Source organism: Homo sapiens, chromosome 7 (genome assembly GCF_000001405.40).
Source record: "Homo sapiens chromosome 7, GRCh38.p14 Primary Assembly".
Lineage (NCBI taxonomy): Eukaryota > Metazoa > Chordata > Mammalia > Primates > Hominidae > Homo > Homo sapiens.
The window spans coordinates 57422575-57443900 of record NC_000007.14 but is presented as its reverse complement, the minus strand read 5'-3'; the positions used below and the strand labels follow the sequence as shown (position 1 = coordinate 57443900).

At 47.6% G+C, this 21326-nt stretch overlaps 2 pseudogenes; one reads left to right on the top strand and one right to left on the bottom strand.

Moving 5' to 3' along the window:
* Positions 1 to 18021: 18021 nt before the first annotated feature.
* Positions 18022 to 19482, bottom strand: SAPCD2P2 (suppressor APC domain containing 2 pseudogene 2; annotated as a pseudogene).
* VN1R28P (vomeronasal 1 receptor 28 pseudogene) lies at positions 20198 to 21116 on the top strand (annotated as a pseudogene).

Sequence of the window (21326 nt, the reverse complement as noted above, 5' to 3'; positions counted from 1 at the left end):
TAAAATATTACTGATCCTTTGTTCTGTTATTAAATGCTACTTTTATCTGTTGTTTTTGAAATATTTTTTGAAAGAAGTTGAATCTTTGAATAAACCAATAACAAGTTCTAAAATTGAGGCAGTAATAAATAGCCTACTAAGCAAAAAAAGCCCAGGACTAGATGTTTTCACAGCTGAATTCTACCAGAGGTACAAAGAACAGCTGGTACCATTTCTTTTGAAACTATTCCAAACAATTGACAAAGAGGGACTCCTCCCTAACTCATTTAATGAGATGTGCATCATCCTGATACCAAAACCTGACCCTGGTGGCACTGGTGGTAGTGCAGCATGAGAGGGGGTGGGGTTGGGGTTTATCCGTGGGCCAGGGTTTAGTGGATTCCCTGGGCAGCACACTGCCTGGCTCTATTCTCTTCATCTTAGATGTATTGGGAGGGTATGATACACAGAGAAAGAGGAGACCCATTTCAATAAAGGGTGTGAATAGGGAAACTGAAATCAAGGACCAATCTTTGCAGGAAGGCTGCTTGTATCTAACTCTGAGAACAGACTGGGGCGGCATGGGATTGGAGGAGAGGAGGGAGCCTCTTAAGAGAAAGGCCCCAAGAGGTTGGGCCCCTGCTCCCTCCCTTCCCCACAAGGCCCCTTCGGCATCTTCTATCCAGGCCCTGTCAGTATCCTGTCCTTTCCTCTGTGACTAGAAAATCAAAGTTCTCCAGGAGATGTAGCCACTCCAGGTGGCTGAAAAAAAATGACTATCAGCCCAAGGAGCAATTTTGGATCTGTTTTCAGGTAATGAAGTAGCTAAGTGAGAATGAGACAAGAGAACCCAGCAAATTAGCAGAGGGGAGGAGAAGACTCTTTTGTGGCCAGCTGCAGAGAGCCTGTGGCCATAGCTCCCTGGTCAGTGTCAGGTCCTGTTGCATAGTGACCACCGGGGCACAAACATTCCAGCTGGGCAGGTACTGGGAGGGAGACCTGAGGTGTGACTCCCAGTAGCCTCACAGCTGCCTTAATGTCCTGCAGCTGCAACCATTTCTGCCAGCTGCCGCCCCCATCCCAGCAGGCCAGCAGCTCATTCAGCAGCTGTAGTGTCCGAGGCTCCACCAGAATGTGATTCAGGACATCAGCCCTGTACCATCCTTGACCTAGAGAGTGAGCCCCAGGGGACAACCTCGATGCAAGTGGCAACTTAGCTTCATGGTGTCTGTTACCAAAGACCAATAGCTCCTGCTGGTTGGGATTAGATCCCAGGACCTCTGCAGGTGAGGTGGGTGACCATAAGGCAGGCACCCCAATATTTGACGCTCTGGGGCTTAACACCCCCACAATAGGCACATGGCACCCCCACTTTACAGACACTCCAGTGAAGGTCAAAGCAGCCCTGAGTGGGGAAGACTCTGACCCAGAGCCCTGGGTCCCACCATACAATTCTCAAACCAAGGTCTAAAAACTCTTCCTCAAAATGGCTAGGGGTCAATATTCGCAGCTTTGCCAACCCCTCTCGATGGCAATGACTCAAATCTGCAGCTGTAGCATGACGGCAGCCTCCTGCAGACAACCTGTGAGTGAAGGCACAAGGCTTCAATCTCATAGAACTTTCCTTACAGGCACTGAAAACTCCAATTTCAAAACGCCACAAAGTATGATTCTTCTTTTGGTTTGTTCGACCATTTGGAAATGTAAAATTCATCCTTCGCTCATGGGAGACAGAAGAGCAGGTGGGGACAGGCTGCACTTTGATGACCTCTGGCAGAAATGAAGCTAAGAGGACGAAATGAGAGGATGGGGCAAGGCCTGCCCCCTCTCAGCTGAGATTTACCCCAGGAGGGGTCCCTGTCAACACCACCCTACTTATCCCTCATCTTGGCTTCAAGAGCAGTTCAGATGAAGAGCAGGGGAACAGAAAAGACCTCAGCAACAAAAAGGAAGGAGACGCAGGGTTGGGCAGCCATGTGGATGGGTGGCACTCAACAGTGCACGTGGCAGCAGCCATTTTAAAAAAATTTTATTTATTTTATTTTATTTTATTTTATTTTTTGAGACAGAGTCTTGCTGTGTCGCCCAGGCTGGAGTGAAGTGGCACAATCTCAGCTTACTGCAACTTCCACCTGCCAGATACAAGCGATTCCCCTGCCTCAGCCTCCCCAGTAGCTGGGATTACAGAGGTGCTCCACCACACCTAGCTAATTTTTGTAATTTCAATAGAGACAGGGTTTCACCATGTTTGCCAGACTGGTCTCAAACTCCTGACCTCATGATCTGCTTGCCTCTGCCTCCGAAAGTGCTGGGGTTACAGGCGTAAGCCGCTGCACCTGGCCTAATTTTTATATTTTTAGTAGAGACAGGGTTTTGCCATGTTGGCCAGGCTGGTCTTGAACTCCCGACCTCAGGTGATCCACTTGCCTTGGCCTCCCAAAGTGCTAGGATTACAGTTGTGAGCCATTGCACCTGGCCAGCAGCAGCCATTTATACCAAGTTGAGCAAGGCACAACCAGCCCTAGGGGGACAGTAGTGGGGGCTCTGTGTGGTAGAGGACATTCTGTATTCTACAGCTTATATGGAAGCTCCACACAACAGTCATTACAGAAAACACACTGGGAAAAAGGGCAATATACAAATAGGACACCAGTACTGGCCAGTTGGGTCTCAATGGTCACTGGAGTAAAGAGGTCCAAGTGGGCCCACAAGGTGTGGCTGGTAGTTGGCTTGTGTCTGCGGGAAGCCTGGGACTCCCATCTAACAGAGGAGGACCCAGCCTGGGGTGAGGAAGCCATCAGAGTCACCAGGTGAGTGGGTCAGAGCAGGCGGGGATCCCTGGCCTCTCCCAGTGAGGGCTGAGAAGCTGGGGTGGGAACACAACCCATGGGCAGATGCACATGTCCCTGGGCCCTTCCCACTGCCCAGTGACTGCCCAGTTCCTAAGGAGCCACTGAGGCCTGAGACCCAGGGACACGCAACCTGATCATCACCCCCAGGCCTTTCTGCCAAGACCAGACAATGCCCAGTGCAGGCAGGTGGTCTGGGACTGGGGTCTGGAACAGGGGTGCATGTTTCTACTGGCAGGTGCCCTGACCTAGACCTGCCTGAGCTGGCTGCACCATCACTTGTTATTCTGCCTATGTATGGCCTAGATTCAAAGGTCCAGCTGTCTATTCTGGCAAAACCATTCCCTGGCTCCTCTGCCAGGCCCAATTGTGCCTGACCTGCCTAAGCCAGCCCCACCTGCCCAGTGATCACCAGAATCCTGCCAGCCAGAAGGACCCACATTTGTCCCCTGAAATATCCACAGGAGCCTGTCTTATTTATTTATTTATTTATCGAGACGGAGTCTCCCTCTGTCACCTAAGCTGGAGTGCAGTGGTACGATCTCGGAGGCGCCTGTCTTTTGCAGGGGCCACAGCTCAGGGTCAGCTCTCTGGAAGCCCCAGAGTCAGGTGTACTCCTGTCCTGACTTCCAGCCTTCCAGTTCTGGCTGTCATGTCTTTTTGGGACCACTCAGCATTGGGAGCTGCCTGAGGCCCCCACATGGCAGAGAACATGCTGGTCATGACAGCCTCAGCCCAAGACCCTGGCCCAAGAGCAATAGCCAGTTGGTTCTAGTGTCTGGATCGTGACAACAGATGAAGCCATCTGCACAAATACTGCCTTCAACCTGGTCCAGTGATGGACTGGGGGGCCACAGAGCAGCCCCCAGGCCAGCCCTGCCCAGTGTTTCCATCAGTGTGGCATGAAAAAAGGACCCTGTACTCAGTCAAAAGCTGAGCCCTGACCTGCCCACCCACCCTGCCCACGAGGGACTCTGACTTCAGGCAGAGGCAGGCAGCAGAGCTGTCAACTTCTGTGATTCTATCCCAGGGCCCACAAGGGCCTCAGGAGACCCAAAAGGAGCTGAGCTGGGGGAGTCAGGGAGGGGCCTGCTGAGTGAAGGGCAGCGTGGGCCTGGGCGTGAGTCGGCACTAAGAGCACATGGCCTGGCTCCCACTGGAGAGGAGGCAGCAGGGGAGAGTCCTGCAGAGCCCTCACACACTCCACTCAGCTCCCAGGTACATGTAGTGCCCTAAGCCTCCCAGGATACCCAGGAATGGTTCTTTCTTGGTCAAGAAAAGAGGCAACCCCACCCATACCCACACAGGCACTGATGCCCACACACATCAGAGAACAAAGCTTTTGTGCCCAGGGTGGGGCAAAGGGGGTATATCCCCTCCTTCCCCCTGTGGATCCCATAACACTTGCTCCTCCTGGTGCCCCACCCCCACCCCACAGGGTGCTGACTACAACCAAAGTGCCCCATGGAAAGAACAGCCCATGGATGGAGCCCAAGAGGCGCTATGACCTGAACAGGCCATGCTGGGTCTAAGGTAATATTTCCCAATCACAGAGTCTCTAACTGCCACCCACTGGCCCTGTGCTTCCATTTCCCTTGGTGGCACAGGGTAACAATCCCACTCTGAAGGCTGGGGACCCGAAGAGGCCACCACCCCCAGTTAAATGTCTGCATTGTGAAAGCGGGGGCAAGAGACATTCCCTGCCTTGGGTCTCTTGCCTTGGGACTGATGTGCATCAGGCCACGGCCAGCCCAGCCTGCTGGAGAGGGCTGTGTTCCCTGTGCTCTGTGTGGGGAATGGTGCTCACAGTTCTGGGTCACTACTAGTAACTCCCCCAAAACACAGGGGCAGGCGTGCTCCATTATATAAGCCTTCAGTCAGTCCCAGAGAAAAAGCATCAAATTCACTCATGTCTGAAGCTGGCCGCCCCAAGGCATTTGGGTTTTGGGGTGAGATAAGGATCTGGAGTCAGCAATCAAGTGTTCTGGTTTTGGAAACACATGAAGTTCTCTGCAGCTCTCCCAAGTACAGGACATGGTGCCAGGTCTGTGCTTTAAAAAAGCCTAAGAGGAGGGGGTGCCTGGGAGGAACTCTGAAGCCAAGGGTAAGGGTTTCACCTTTCCTACCTCCCCACCAGAAACATTCCACAACGTCTCATGACAAACTCAGAATAGGGAAAGAAAAAAAAAAGGAGGCAGGGTGCACGAAAGTGGAAGGGTGGGAGTGAGTAATAAGAGATTACAGGGGATCATCTGGCTCAATCCTGAAACACCCCTGCCATATCATGCCCTATCAGTCCTCTCAGACAGCTGAGGTATCTGAGGTCTGGAGGAGGCACCCAGAGCCTGGATAGGCAGCTGGCAGCCTGGAGCCCCTGAGGTCCAGGCAGATTCCACCACAAGCCTGAGCCAGAGGCAGCGGGATCCCCCAGTTCATTCACTTGGAAATCACTCAGGTTGGCTGGGCCACTGGCCCTCCCCAAACCCTCCCCTCCCACTTATCAGGTGACAGCCTTCCTGAGAAGCTGCCAGGCGAGGGATGAGGATGCCTCGGTCCCCCTAGGAATTGGCTGTCCCCAGGGGGCAGGTGCCCGGCAGCCACACACCAGGCCACTGCTCTCTGCTTACTGCGTGGAGCCTGGGGCACATGTAAGGAGCAGGTGGCACGTGGAGCGCATAGTCTGGCTTGGCTGGGGACTGTAGGTACTGCACCTTGGGGACCATGGTACCCCTGCAGGTTGAGGTTGGAGCACCCTTACTCCTGCTGGCCCCACAAACCCTCCTAGAAGACCCACCATGTCCCACCTGACCTTGACAGCCAGCGGCTCCACAGCCCTGGGACATTGGCCCACTCCCCTCCTCTTTGCATTCTGCATACCTTGGGAAAGACCTATTGGCCCGCCAGGTATGAAAGCAGGATTGGGGCAGTGGTGACGCTAGAGGGTGTCACCTTGTCATGCCGGGCACTGGGGGCTGGACATGAGCTCATGCACTCACACCCACCCTCCAAAGTCCAGCCTCTCGCTTTTGCCAAAGCTGGCCAGGAACTGGGGCCTCGGGGCAGAGGGGACAGATGTCTCCGTGCCGGCTCCTTGCAGCGTCCTCGCAGTTGGGTGTCACTTCTGCCGCTGCAGGTGCTACATCAAACGCTGTGCCCAGGTGACTCCAGCTGCGATCTTCAGGAAGCAGGGACAGCAAAACCGGGCATTGGCCCCACGGTGCCACTCACACCTGGTGACTACTTTCCACCCAGGCGCCCGTTCCGTGTCCTCGAAGCCTCAACCCACTGAACCTGGGCCTTTGCCTTGTGCAGGCTGAGTAGCTGAGCCTTTCTTCACCTGCCATTCTCCAGGAGCTCCGAGGAGGCGCTGGCCACAGCGGCCACAGCCAGGCAGAGCACAACGGTGCAGGCCGAGGTGCCCAAGGTGGAGAGGGGACCTTAGCGTCTTCAACTAGTGCCCTCAACTACCGGCGGGCATGCTCCCCCCAGGCCCGTCTATGGCACCTGCAGAAGGAGGGTTATGAGAAGCAGGCTGCTCATCATAACTCCAGTTCTGGGCCCCCTGGATGTGGGATAGAGGGGGACAGGCAGAGCTGGGATGTGACTGTGATGGGGATGGGTCTGTCAAGGGCTGGCTGGGAGCTCCAGCCTCCTCTCTTCTTAGTAGGGGTCTGAGGCCCATCTGCAGCCTCTTTGACTCCTTTTATTCTGCAGAACACCCAGACTCCAGCCTTCTCATGGGAATCATAAGGTGCACGAGGCCCAGGGTTCTTTCGGCCTCTTCCCAACCATGGTCTTTGTATTTCCCCCATATATTTGGAGGACAGGAGGCCCTTATTATGAACTCAAATTCCACCCACCTTATAGTTGGTCCTGGGATTTGTCCTGTTGGTCAGAATCTAAGCGGATGGCTCCCTACCTAGAAGAGGCCATTGGGCATCTCATCTCACATTCCGTGGACATGACCTGCTATGATGTCCATCTACTTTGAAGGAGTGTCTAACTCCTTGAATAGAATTGAGGCCCAGAGATCTGTATGCTGTAGTCATTGAATTATGCCAAGGTTCTAGCAAAGTAACCACACAAAGTTAATTGCTTAATATTTCTGTGTTAAATGAATGAATGCCAACCAGAACCTTCTTAGATATGAGTGGGCAAGGGACCCCTGTCTCCAGCACCCAGGGACCCCTAAGCTGTCTATATAAAGGATGACGACTAGCTAGAAAAAAAAATCCTTCACACTTTCTTTAAAATGGAAAACATTATTAATTTGTCTTAATGAATAAAACAGATTTGCTTTCTATGTGCTGTTTTAAATACAATGTAAAAAATGTGGCAAAGCCTTTAACAACTGTTCACACTTTACTCAACATCAGATAATTCATACTAGAAGATCACTATACATGTAATGGATGTAGATAGAGTTTTATCTTAAATATAAACCTTAGAAATAACCAGAATTCATAAAGAATTCTTCCACAGGGAAACTTTTCAAATGCAATAAGTGTGAGGGAGTATTCAAAAATCAAGTCTAACTAAACCTCAGAGAATTCCCACGAGAAAGTACAAAGGCACTATAATTTTCAAACTTTACATTAGACAAGAATACTTAATATAGAGAATAATCTAAAGTTAAAACAATTCGATAATTTACTGGTTTGTATTTTCGCAAGAAGCAAGGACTATGATATTTGGACAGGTATAATTATATTTCAATGGATACTTGCTTTGTATTGTCATTATTTGAGATTATTTAAGGAACATCTATTATTGATGTAATTCAACTCTTAAATCGGTTGTCACTATGCCTACATTCCTAGTGTTTATATGAAAACACTATAAACAATGTGACCTATTGTTGCTGCATCAGAGCTGGGAGAGGCCATTCTATATGAATTTCTCCATGGAAATTCATGGCAAATGTAAAATTAAAAAATAAAAATTAAAAAATAACTGCTGGATCACACCTGTAATCCCAGCACTTTGGGAAGCCAAGCAGGGTGGATCACTTGAGGTCAGGAGTTTGAGAGCAGCCTGGCCAACATGGTGAAGCCCCGTCTCTACTAAAAATACAAAAAAAAAAAATAGCCAGGTGTGGTGGTGGGTGCCTGTAGTCCCAGCTACTGGGGAGGCTGAGGCAGGAAAATTGCTTGAACCCGGGAGGTAGAGGTTGCAGTGAGCAGAGAATGTACCATTGCACTCCAGCCCGGGCAACAAGAGCAAAACTCCATCTCAAAAAAAAAAAAAAATTAAAGAGAGATGCTGTTTGTGGTTTACTTACTCTGCATGAGGTAGGTATACTGGGAATTATTCTTCTCTATTAAAGGAAGAGTGAAAAATTCCGAATTTTTGAAATAAATAATTTTACCAATCATCTCTCCTTAAGGGATAAAAAAGCTGGGCAGTCTATTAAAATACCAGTGTATTATAGTAAAAGGTTAAAGTCTTAAATATTATTCAGTGTGATAATTTTTTTTTTAAATTACAGATAGAGAGAACGCCTCCATGAAAGGTTTTAAATGTATTTTAAATCAATGTTTCCTAAATAACCTTCATCTTTAAAAATAGATAAAGGAAGTATCAAGATAATTTCATCAGAGAAAAAAATAATGCTTGTTCAATGTTTGTGACTGTATTTTGACCAAGAAGACTATAATGGATTTTGGAATGCCTTACTTAGACTATGTGTTAACTTAGTTTTAATTAATAAACTAAACGTTTTTCAGTGTTTTAACACTGATATGCAATAAATGAAATGTTATCCTGCCACAAATGTTAAACTATTTCACTTTAATCAAGATTGGGGGCAACAGATGGTAACAATATACTATTGGGTAATACAGTGAAATGACATATTTAGTAATGATTTGTTCAGAGAACTCAAATAATGTGGAGACTATTGTCAAAAGTTCTACTTCATATTTTTTTTAACTTTTTGGTAACTACAGGAAGATTATGTCAGTTATGATAAAGATCAGAAAAATACAAAAATTAGCTGGGTGTGGTGGTGTGTGCCTGTAATCCCAGCTACTTCGGAGGCTGAGGCAGGAGAATCACTTGAACCCAGGTGGCGGAGGTTGCAGTGAGCCAAGATCGCGCCACTGCACTCCAGCCTGGATGACAGAGACTCCGTCTCAAAAAAAAAAAAATTACTGAATATTTTTCTTTGCACATTTCCTGTACATGGGCCAACTGAACACATAAAGATTTTTGTGCTTTGGTTTACATTGAATGCAATATACAAATATATTAGGCTAAAAATAAACTATATGTGTAAGAGAAATATAGAGGAGGAAATTGTGTGTGTGTGTGTATGTATGTGTGTATGTATTCTTTAAATTGAAAAGGAAATTGTGGACCAAAAAGATAGTGTTGGAAGAGTTGACAATTTGCTAGCAAATCAGGAACCTCACAAATGCTTCAAGCAAAATGAGTTTCTCTACTGTACACTGAACTTATTTTTCCCAAATCTGAGGTCTCCTGGGTTCAGAATCTTCCTTATATATATATATATTTTTTTTTTGTTTAGTTGCCTATTATTCACATGAGAACAAATATATAATTTTTTCTTCCAAAGTTTATGAAATATTTTTATATTATCTGCTCAGTGATTTTAAAAATGTTTTCATAAAACTGAATGTTGCTCAGAAGTTTATTTGAAGATTTAATTCTACAGTGAGTGAGCGTATTACATTTTATTTCACTATTGCATTCCATTTTCTCCCTTAACGATTGGAGAAAAAACTATTTAAGTCAAAATTTTCTTTAGTTAATTGTTCCTTCTATTTATGTTAAGTGACAGCATACAATTTTAAAAATGTTACCAGGCTGATTTTTTTTCCGGTGGAAATTTATGAGGTTTTATGAGTTATGAAGTTGTTTTAATGTTTATATAAAGTAAACAAATACAGAGGACAGTGCTGGGTGTGTAGCAGGTACTCAACATTTAAGAGAAAACTGTTTCTTTTTTTTTTTTCTTTTTTGAGACAGACTCTCATTCTGTCACCCAGGCTGGAGTACAGTGGCGCAATCTCGGCTCACTGCAACCTCCGCCTCCTGGGTTCAAGTGATTCTCCTGCCTCAGCCTCCCAAGTAGCTGGGACTATAGGCACATGCCACCACGCCAGGCTAATTTTTTGTATTTTTAGTAGATACGGGGTTTCACTGTGATAGCCAGGATGGTCTCGATCTCCTGACCTCGTGATCTGCCCATTTCGGCCTCCCAATGTGCTGGGATTACAGGCATGAGCCACCGCACCCGGCAGAGAAAACTGTTTCTATTGGAGTAATATTACATCTTTCAGGTAAGAGACTGAAACATTTAGAGTGAAGAAATAGCATTGATTGTGCATGTGGAGAGAGGACACCTGCTCTTCAACTGAACTGACTGAATTTAGAAAAGAAAATTCTGCTTGTTTTATTTTATAATTATCTCCAGTTCCTCATTCCCTCTTTATTTTTATCCCCAGTTACATATGCATCAAAGCCATTTTCTTGTCTGTCTTATAGTTACAGCTTTGTCACTGCTCTCCTTACCCCATGGAATCTCACACAAGACATTTTCAGTTCTGATGAATAGTTTGGAATTTTTGCAACGCAATGATAAATGGTTTTTTACTGAAGAGTTTGAGGCCACTTATAGGTTTTAAATAGCACATTCTGATCACTTAATTGAGGTAAGAGAAAAGTAATGCAATAGTCCAGAGGATCAGATCACTTTCACATTTGGATAACCAACACCGAAGTCCACTTAAAACCATTCAGACACCTGTCTCTGACTGCATCTTCTGTGGGCCAATATCCTTGCTGGAGAAGACACACAATACGCACCCAGATACTGGTTCTCCAAGTGATTTCCCTGAGCAAGCAGCATTGGAAACACCTGAGAACTTGTAGAAAAAGAATATTCTTGAGCCATAGACAAGAACTACGGAGCAAGTAACACGAAGGAGAGCCCAGTAATCTGTGATATTTCAAACCCCGCAAGTGATCCAGATGCACCTCAGGGTCCCAGCTGGACTATAACCACCTTTTTGAGAAAGAAAAAAAATGTCTCTTCTGACTGGCATACCCAGATATAGTGCTCTGTTCTCCAGGTGACACAGTGTGCATTTTAACACTTATTTCTCTCACCTATTTCATCAATTTTGTTTATGGAGGGCAGAAGGATTCCATCTATTCAAGCAACACCAGGATTAGGATATGCACTGTTCTTTGCAATACAGCTTATTTAGACATGGATTTCTAAATGTTCACAAAGCCCTCTAAAGACCACGTAGCAGTCACGTGACCTGGCTCCAACAAACTCAACTACAATCTCAATTAAAATCTCATCAGCCCAGGGACCCAATAGGAGAAAGTATTTATCTTTCAAAACTATCCTATGATGAGTGGCAGTTGTGTTTACTCCTTCGTATTCAGGGACACAAACATAAGGCTGCACAGATCTTAAAGAATCTGAAAAACATGATCATCACCCAAAGAAACTAATAAAGCTGTAGTAAAAATCTGCAAAGAAATGGAGGTCTCAGAATTGACTGACAAAGAATTTAAAATAATCATCAAGAAATTTCAATAAGATGCAAAAGAACACCGATAGATTACTAAAAATGTTATGAAACAACACAGAAACAAAATGAGAATTACAATAATGAAATAGGCTGATCATGGTGGCTTATACTTGTGAAAATTGCAATTTGGGAGGCTAAGGCTGGAGGATTGCATGGGACCAAGAATTTAAGATTAACCTGGCCAACATAACAAGACCCCAACTATATTAAAAATTATTTTAATAGATAAATAGAAACCATAAAAAACAACCAAACAGAAATCCTGCAACTGAAATAAACAATGGCAGAACGGGAAACATGTAATAGAAATGTTTAACAGGAGACTCAATCCTAAAGAAGAAAAATTCAGCAAATTCCAAAACAGGCTATTTAAAAGTAACCAATATATAACCAAGTGAACAAATATACACATTTCAGAAATTTCAGAAAAAGGGAGAAAGAGGAAAAGAGCTTTAAATATGTAATGTCTTAAACCTTTCCAAATCTAGAAAATAATGTGAACATCCAGTTTTATGAAGCTCCAAATACCTTGAGCAAGAAGAACCTAATAAAGATTGCCCTTGGACACATTATGATTGTCAAAATACAGAGATAAAGCACAAACCTTGAAAACAGCAAGCAATAAATTCTTCACATAGAAGGAAACCTTTATAATGGTATCAGTGGATTTTTCAGCAGAAACCTTGCAAGCAAACTGGGAGACCATATATTCAAAATGCTGAGAGAAGAAAAAAACCTGACAGTTAAGAAGAGTATATCCAACAAGGCTCTTTAGAAATAATAGAGATCAAGACATTCTAACATTCCAAGACAAAAAAGAGGGTGAGGGAATTTATCACACCTCAATCTGTTCTGCAAGAAATGCTGAAAGGAAGTCTTCACATTGATATGACCGAAGGCTAATAATACCAAAAATATTGAGGAATAAATGTCACTGAAAATGGTAAATAAACAGTGAAATTTAGAATACTCTAATACTGTAGTGGTTTTGCATAAGTCACTTTGACCTTTAGTGTAAGATTTATAAAAAATATTAAAAATAAAATAGCTACAATAATTTGTTAATGGACACACAACATAAAAAGTTGTAAAGTGTGACATACATAATATAAAATGTGTGAAAGGGAGAAAATTTGTAAAGTTTTTCTATGCATAGAAGTTAAATTGTCATCATCTTAAACAAGGTTGTTAAGATACAAGATGTTTTATGTAAGTCTCATGATAACCACCAGGAAAAAAACTGTAGTAGATACACAGAAGAAAAAGAGAAAGTAATTAAAGCATATAAAAACAACAAAAATGAAACAAAAATTTAAGCTTGGGTGGTGGCTCATGCCTATAATCTCAGCACTTTGGGAGGCCAAGGTGGGAGAATCATGTGGCAGCCACAACTAAGGGCTGTGTTGGGTGTCTGCCATAGAATCCCTGTACATCAGATGCCTAATAAGTGCTGAGGCAGATGAGGCTCCTGGGCAGATGGGTGGGTGACCTATAGACCTTCTTGCACCTCAGCGAGCACCTCCAACAACAAATGGGCCAGGCCTCCACTTTTCTTTCTATCGGTCCCATCTCATTTGACGTGCCCAGTCACTCTGTGCAGTTGTCACTATTCATGTCCCATATCCACTGCCTGCATGTGGACACGGAAGGCTGGGGGTGAAGAAACTCATTGAGGTCACACAGTTGGTGACACATGGAGCTAGGATAAGACCCACATCACTGGACTCTACTCAGGGAATGGCTGGAGTGAGACAGCTGGTGCCAGAGGCATGGCTTGACCCTGCCCTGCCCTGAAGAGCAGAGCTGCTCCCCACTTCCATCAGAGTCAACTGCTTTGCCAGCAGCTGGGGATTGCAATGCCTCAGAAGAGTGTGCAGCTGGAACCAAAATGCCCAGGCAAGGGCAGTGTGGCTATGCCATGGGCCTGTTACTGGGGAGCATAGGCACCCCCCTCAGTGGGTGCAGTGGAGGCTGGCAGCTGTGAAACATTGTGACCCACTTGCCACCTACCTTCCTCAAAAACAGGGTGGATTCTTTGGGAGGCCGAGGCGGGTGGATCACCTGAGGTCCGGAGTTTGAGTCCAGCCTGACCAACATGGAGAAACCCCGTCTCTACTAAAAATACAAAATTAGCCCGGCGTGGTGGCACATGCCTGTAATCCCAGCTACTGCGGGGGCTGAGGTAGGAGAACGGCTTGAACCCGGGAGACAGAGGTTGCTGTGAGCCGAGATCTCGCCATTGCACTGCAGCCTGGACAACAAGAGGGAAACTCCATCTCAAAAAAAAAACCAGGGTGGATTCCACTGTTGGGGTGCATGAAAGTACCTGGTCTCCACACTTCCTCCTTGGCCTTGTGGCAGCAATAGCAGTGGCAGTAGTGACTGTGGCAGGAGCCCCAGGGTGGACCATTGGCCTTTGGGGCCAGGCTCTCAGAAGAATGCTGGACCACAGCCGAAATGCTCACGCAGGGGCAGGTCAGCTGCACTGTGGACTCGACACTGGGGAAGGCAGGTGTTGTCTAGCAGGACCCAGTCATCTCACAGATCTCTGAGGCTCAGTTTATTTTTCTTCAATCATTCGTCTGAAACATTGTCTTCAGATTGGTTAATTTCTAGGGCTCTGTCTTTAAGTTTATTTCTTCTGTTTCTAATCAGATGATCCTCTCAATAGTACTTTTTTATTATCATCTTTCTATTTGGCTTTTTTATAATTTCCATTTCTCTTCTGAGATTCCACATTTGCCCAATCGTTATGAGAATATTTTTCTTTACCTCCATGACCATATTTATAATAGCTGCTTTCCAGTTCTTGTCATCTTATTACAACACCTTGGACATCTTTGAGCTAGCTTCTGATGGCTGTTTTACTTTTAATCTTGTATATGAATTACATTATCCTGCTTTTTTCACACATCTCATGAATTTTAAAATTATATGCTAGAAACTATAAATGACAGATAGACACTCTAGATTCTGTTATGCTTTTTGAGGAGTATTGTTATTTTTCTAGAAGAAACTTAATTTGACTAAACTCAACTCCAATCCCTAACTCCCCTACAGTGGACAAAGCTGAAATTCTCATTCACTTCTTACCCATACATGTATTATACCATATGTATTACACATAAATATATTTCTATATAATTACACATTTTATCAAAAATGTATTACTTTTCCTGTGAGAGTCTTGTTAAACAAGCTAGGAAGCCAGAAATTCAGTTTTGTTTGCTTTTTGATTTTTTTAATGAATGGAATTAGATACTATGCACGCTTTTTAATTTGGTTTCTTTTATGCAGCATTATGATATTCATTCATACCATGGTATGTATGTATAGTTTTTTTTTTAGCAAGGAAACATTTGGTAATCTGACATGCAACTGTAAAGGTGGTTTGAAGTTAGAGTTATCCTTTAACATCCATTTTGTTGACAAGGACTGAGAGGAGGCAATTCACCTGAGCAAAAGTTACCTAAGAAAATGAGCTCACTCATTCTAAACTTCAGAACCCAGCTGTGGCTACTCTGCTCTTTTCAGGAATGAGGTACATTTATTTTTCTCCCAGTGGCTCTCCTTTCTAACAATCGCAGGGTCAGGGCCATCTGCTTCTACAGGTAACATGAGAATTATGGGCCTGAGGGAGATAAACTGACAGCATCCCTTCCTTATAACCATGGCTCAGGGACCACAATTCACACACAGACTCACTCCAAGACTCAGCCAGGTGAGCGTCTGTTTCTCAGCTTCATTACCAGTGAGCGATCAAGACTCAGGTGGGCGATGTCTGTAATTCTCTCATGATTTGTTCTTACATCTCACTGAATTATAACTAGTCAGTACATGTTTCTAGATGAAATATTAATATTATGAATATACAAATATATAGATTTGTGGAAGAAAATTTGACATTATGTAATTATATTTGAATTTGAATTTTGACTATTTTCCATTTTAATAAAGTAGTACAAATTATTTTATGCATTTATGCAAATCTTTACATTTTAAGACAGTACAAATCTGCACTGATTCAGAGTGATGTAATTATACTACTTCAGGTTTATTTAAATTTGGAGATGCTGTAGTGTATTTCTAATACTTAAGGATGATTTGAACGATCATGTGATAAAACAAGATTTTTTTTTCATATTTCCAGAAAACTTTTTTATTTCTTTAGATATATAAAACACTGTTACTTTATATTCTCTCTGATAATTCCAGTATCTGTGTCTACAGAGTCTACCTGTTGTTTCTGCTGGGTCTCATAGTGTATTGTTTTCTTGTGGTGTTTATGAATTTTAAAACAGGAGATCACATTTTCTTTTCTTTTCTCTTTCCTTCCTTCTTTCTTTTTTCTTTTTTTTTTTTTTTGTAGATATGCGGGGGGTCTCTCACTACATTGGCCAGGCTGGCCTCAAACTCCTGGCCTCAGGTGCTGGGATTCCAGGCGTGAGCCACCGCGGCCGACTGAGATATTCATTTTCCTTGGAACTTGATCAACACAAAATCCTGAGGCCTAGTGTGGTTGTTTCCTCTGGGGCTCATTCTCAACCAGGGACACTTCTGCCTCCAGGGACACATTGTGACATCCTGAGACAGTTCTAGGTGTCATAACTGTGTGTGCATGCACGTGTATGTACCCGCGCATGCTACTGGCACCTCATGGATAGAGGCCAGGGATGCTGCTCACATCTTGCAAGGAGACTGACCCACCCAGCGTCACTAGGGCAGGCTCCAGGCAGGGTCCGCATGTGCCTCTGCCAGCCACCTAGACTGTGCCAGCCGGGGCCACTTTAAATTCTCCCCTCGTGGTCTCTAGGGCCACACACTAGCCTGATTGCAAGCTGTAAACTTGGATGACCCATATTTTTTTCACCTTGCATGGAACACCAAGGCTGAGAGGCAGTTTTCCGGGAGGTGCCAGCCTGTCTCACATTTCTGCCTTAGCTGCGGGGTCCAGCTCTATGTGGGCGGTCTCCTGATGAAGTCACCCTGGGACAGACACTGTTCTGTCTTCTGCTTCCAGTCCTGTAAAGATGCCCGGATCCCCCAGGGCATGGCAGGCACCCTCAAAGGCAGATGTGGGGAGGCCCTGGTGGGCAGACCCCAGCCTGCTGATGTCGGGGGGCTTCTCCCCGGCTGCCGCTGGCCCATCCACTGCACTGCAGTCCACCTGGTGCTGGCGCTGTGGGACACAGGCCTTCAGGACCCGCTCCCTTTCCCACCCAGGAGGGTTGAGGCCTGGCGTTCTTATGTCCTCTGGAAGCCTCCCTCCCATCCTCAGGGTAGGAAAACAGCTGCACGCTGGTCTGGCTTGGGCCTGTCCTGGGACACCTCTGCAGCCCGGGTACAGCAGGGGATGTGGCTCTGTGGGTTTGCTGTGGGCAGGTTATCGTGGAGCTGGGTTCCAGAAGGGAGTTGCCGTGCTGGCTGCCAGGACCCCTCCTCTGAGACAGGGGTGCCTTGTGGGACAGTGCACCAAAGTGCCCTGGCCACGAGGGGATCCTGCGCCCCACACACACTGACCCTGCATCGGGGGCCCTGCGCCCCACACACCCTGACCCTGCATCGGGGGCACTGCGTCCCACACACACTGACCCCGCATCAGGGACCCTGTGCACCCCGCCCCCCCCCCTACACACACACACACTGAACCTGCACTGGGGGCCCTGGGCTGCAGAAGCCATCCGTGATATTGCCGTGCCCCTGGCTCTGGTGGCACTGGGGCCCTCCAGGCTGGGCTGAGCATGAGGCCCCCACCAGTGCGTACCCCAGCACCAGCGGGAGTGGGCCTGGGCACAGGGGCAGGGAGTGACACCCAAGGGGACCTGTCCCAGCCTCCTCCTGTACCTTGGCTGGGTTCTCCTTTTCCTTGGCTGAGAGAAGTGGTTCCTCCTGGATGAAACCTGGGATCAGGCTGAGCGTGGGAGGAAAGCGGGGTGAGCAGGACCCCAGACCTAGAGAATCCTGAGTGAGGGGGTGACAGACTCTCCCTATGACACGCCTGGAAAGTGGGGGCCCAGGCACCTGGGGACAGGGCCCTCCTGGGGAGCCAGGTTCACAGGTTGTTTTGTGGGACACAACGTGGGGCAGCGTCCTGGCCAGGATGAGGAAGACCATCACCGCGGGGTCTGCGGGAGGCACAAGCAAGCCAAGCTCTCGTCCACCCGGCTCCGGGATCTGCTGCAGCCAGAGTCTCTCAGCCTTGGCCAGGACCTGAAGTCCGACCGCCATCCCTGGGGCTTCCCTGCCAGGCGAGCAACCCCCGCTTAGAGGCCTTCCCCATCCCCTCCATCTGCTCCCGTCCGAGAGACAGCCTCCTTGTCCTGGTGCCCTGGTTGAGGTGGGGGTAAGCTGCCCTTGGACCCCCCAGGTCTGGGGCGCAGCCTCAGCGCCGCATCTGTGCCGTCTAGCGCCGTCTGCTGGCCGTTATCGGAAGTGCAGCCTGGCGTGAGCAGTGCCTTTCCCTGGAGATGGGACCCAGGGCAGCACCGCTGGAAACCGGGCGACCAGAGATCTGGTAACTGGTGGAGGGGTCCCTCACTGTCCACTGACAGCGGCAGTAGTAGCTGCGGACTATGCGGACTCAAGAGAGCCTCAGCCCATGTCAGCACCGGAAGCCAAAACCGAGTCAAGGGCTCGGTGTGGGGGCCAGACGGGGACAGGCCCGGGGAGCCTGGATGGCAAGGGGTGCAGGAAGGCGCCCATTCCGGGACTGCCTGGGCCTGCCGGGGATCTCCAGCCAGAGAGGTTGGGTGCGACAGAGTGCTCGCTCCGAAGGGCTGAGTGCCAGGCTGGCCCCGTGGGCCGGCTCAGCCCACACCAGCAAGATGAAGGTGGGGTCCAGAGGCCCCCCCGTCCTGCTGGCTCAGGGCGCGGGCCTCAAACAGCTGCTTAATGAGCGCTGACTTCTCTTGCTCCAGCTGCGTGATGCACTCACTCTTCTCGGTCGCCTCCTGGGTAAGGAGTCAGTTCTGCTCCTTCAGCATGAGGATGGTCTGCTGCTGACAGCCCGGGGACGAGGTTGACCTTAGGGCAGAGCAGGGGGCCCGGCGGAGGACGTGGGCAGGGCCCAGCTGGCACAGGCCGCAGCCAGCAGCTCCCCCAGGCACCTGGTCACCTCCTGTACCTTGGACAGTAGCCGCCCCAGTGGGCGGGGGCTCCCCGTGGCCCCAAAGTCGGCGCTGGCTCTGCTCTGGCCCAGGCGGCACTGGCGCTCCTGCACCCGTTGCAGCTGCTGCTGGTACCAATCACGGCCCCGCGCCATCATCTCCAAACCCTGCAGCAGCACCTCCTTCTCCTGCTCCAGCTCCTTCATCTGCTTCAGCAGGCCGCAGTCCACGCCGCTGGTGATGGTGTGCCTCTGACGTTCTCCTCGGGCGCTGGGCCCCGCGGGGCATCCCCTGAGTCTGCCTCCAAGGCCCTGCAGGTCGCTGCACCTGCGTCCGCGCTGGGGCTCTGTTCCAGGACCGCGCTCTGGGACCGCTCCGGTTCCACGGGGCAGGGCGCCGCCTCGGCGGGGGCGCACAGCTGCTCTGGGCTGCGGGCCGCGCGGCTGGGACAAGCCAGAGAAGCGCGCTCGCCCAGGGGCAGGGGCTTCCTCTCCGGGACCATCCGCGGCTCGTCGGCCGGCGCGAACAGCAGGCGCTGCGGCAGCTGGTTCCCGGGCCGGGCCGGGCTGGGGCGTGGGTGGGGTCCCGGGGGCCGCCGTCGGCGCTCAGCAGCGCGGTGCGCAGGCCGACCACGAAGCGCTCGAAGGTCAGGTAGCCGCTGGCCGGGGCCACTTCGCGCAGGCCCTCCAGGACCCCGCGGGGCAGCTCCCGCGCGTTGGCGCCCTGCCAGCGGGACTGGATCTCGCGCAGGTGCTCGCAACCGCGCCGCCGGTCGTACAGGATGTGGAACAGCGTGCGCAGGCTCTGCAGGAAGGCGAGCGACAGCCCGTCTGTGCTGCGCGCGGGCGCGGCGGGAGGCATGCGGCTCCGCTGGGCCGTCGTGTCCCGGGCCATGGGCACCCGGGCTCAGTCCACGCGTCCACCTGTGTGCGTCCCCGCGCGGCCCCGTGGCGGGGCCGGCCAGACGCGCTCCCAAGGTTTTTAAAATACTTCACATTAAGAAGATTTTAGTAGATGACCATAATAAAATTACGTTTAATCCTATTACACTAATTGCTAATAGGGAGTTTTTTTTACTACCACAAACTATCTGAAAAGAACATCTTCTGCTATGTATCTGCTATATAATTTTTACAGGATACATGAAACTTTGCATGCATGAATGTGATGTTCAGCATGATGTCAGACTGATGTGATATCACAGCCACTCAATGCATTATTATTTTTTTCCAAAATATATCAGGTGATTGCTTTTTCCATTAGCACAAAATCTACTTCAGTTCTGTTCTACAAACACCCATGATTCATTTTTATATACATGTCACAGTTCTGGGTGATGAAAACTAAATGAAGGAATGCAAAAAGTGAAAACTAAATGCTTAATAAAGAAGTGTGTCCTTGATACTATAGGAGCACAGATAATGTGCGCCCTCTACAGATGTGACTGTGCATGTGTGGGTGTTCGATCAACTTAATAATTTTGTTTATCATATAATGATCAGGCTGTAGGTTTAAGAATTTATATGTGATAATCAACATTAATCAAAATAAATGGATGGATTTAAAATGATAATGACGGTGATAATTTTGAATCTGAAGTAAGTAACATTGATGATGGAAGTTTTATTGGTTGATTTTTTCAGGTACATAAAATATTTCCTCTTTGCCATTAAAGTGAACACAGTTTCCACTTATGTTATCATTCAAAAGTGCCTTCTTTGCCCAAGCTGTTACTGGAGTCTTGGCCAACATCTTCCTCCTTTTCTCTGGTACCACGATGCTCCTTCTGGATCCTAAGCCCACTGACCTGACCACCAGTCACTTGGCCCTTGTCCACATCATGATGCTGCTCACCATTGTGTTCTTGGTGTCTCCAGACCTTTTTGAGTCCCTTCATTTTGACTTCAAGTGTAAGACGCTTTTCTACCTGAGCAGGGTGATGAGGGACCTCTGCGTCTGCACCACCTGCCTCCTGAGCACGCTCTAGGCCATCACCATCAGCCCCAGCACTTCCTGGTTGGTTAGGTTTAAACATAAATTCACAAATCATATTTCATATATTCTTGTCTTCTTATGGTCCCTCAGTTGTCCTGCAGTAGTTACATAATCTTTGACACTGTGGTTTATTTTAATATGACTCAGACCAGTTTTCTGACACTCAATAAAACTGCCTCATTTCCCCAAGGAAGTCCATCATCTGGAGCCTTATTTTTCTACTCTGTCATTATCCAGAGATGTCTCCTTTGTGGGAATTATGCTGCTCTCCAGTGCATACATGGTGACTCTCTTGTGCAGGCATGAGAGGCCATCCCAGCACTTTCACAGCACCAGACTCTCCAAGAGTCTCTCCAGAAAAAAGGGCCTCCGAGACCATCTTGCTGTTGGTGAGTTTCTTTGTGGTTATGTACCAGATGGATTTGATTCTGTCATCCTACTTGATTCTGATATAAACATATGATTCAGTCATCCTGGGTGTCCAGAGGCTTGTGACCAGGGCCTATGCCACTGTGAGCCCTTTGGTGCTAATAAGTTCTGAAAAAAGGATAATTGATATTCTGCAAATGATGAGACAGAAGTATTGTATATTTTTTTCCATGAAAATAATTATCTGAAAAGGAGATTCTAACATCAGTTAAATTATTCAAGTATCAGAGGATTTGATAATTTATTTCATTACATTGTATAGAGTTTAGCACTTTTATTTTATGTAAATCATTTGGAAACTGATGCTGCCAAAGACTTGATGGATCCTTTTGTTCATTGTCCACCATGATTTGATAGCCCAATATGTTTGCAGTTTCTTGCATTTCATTTTGATTCCT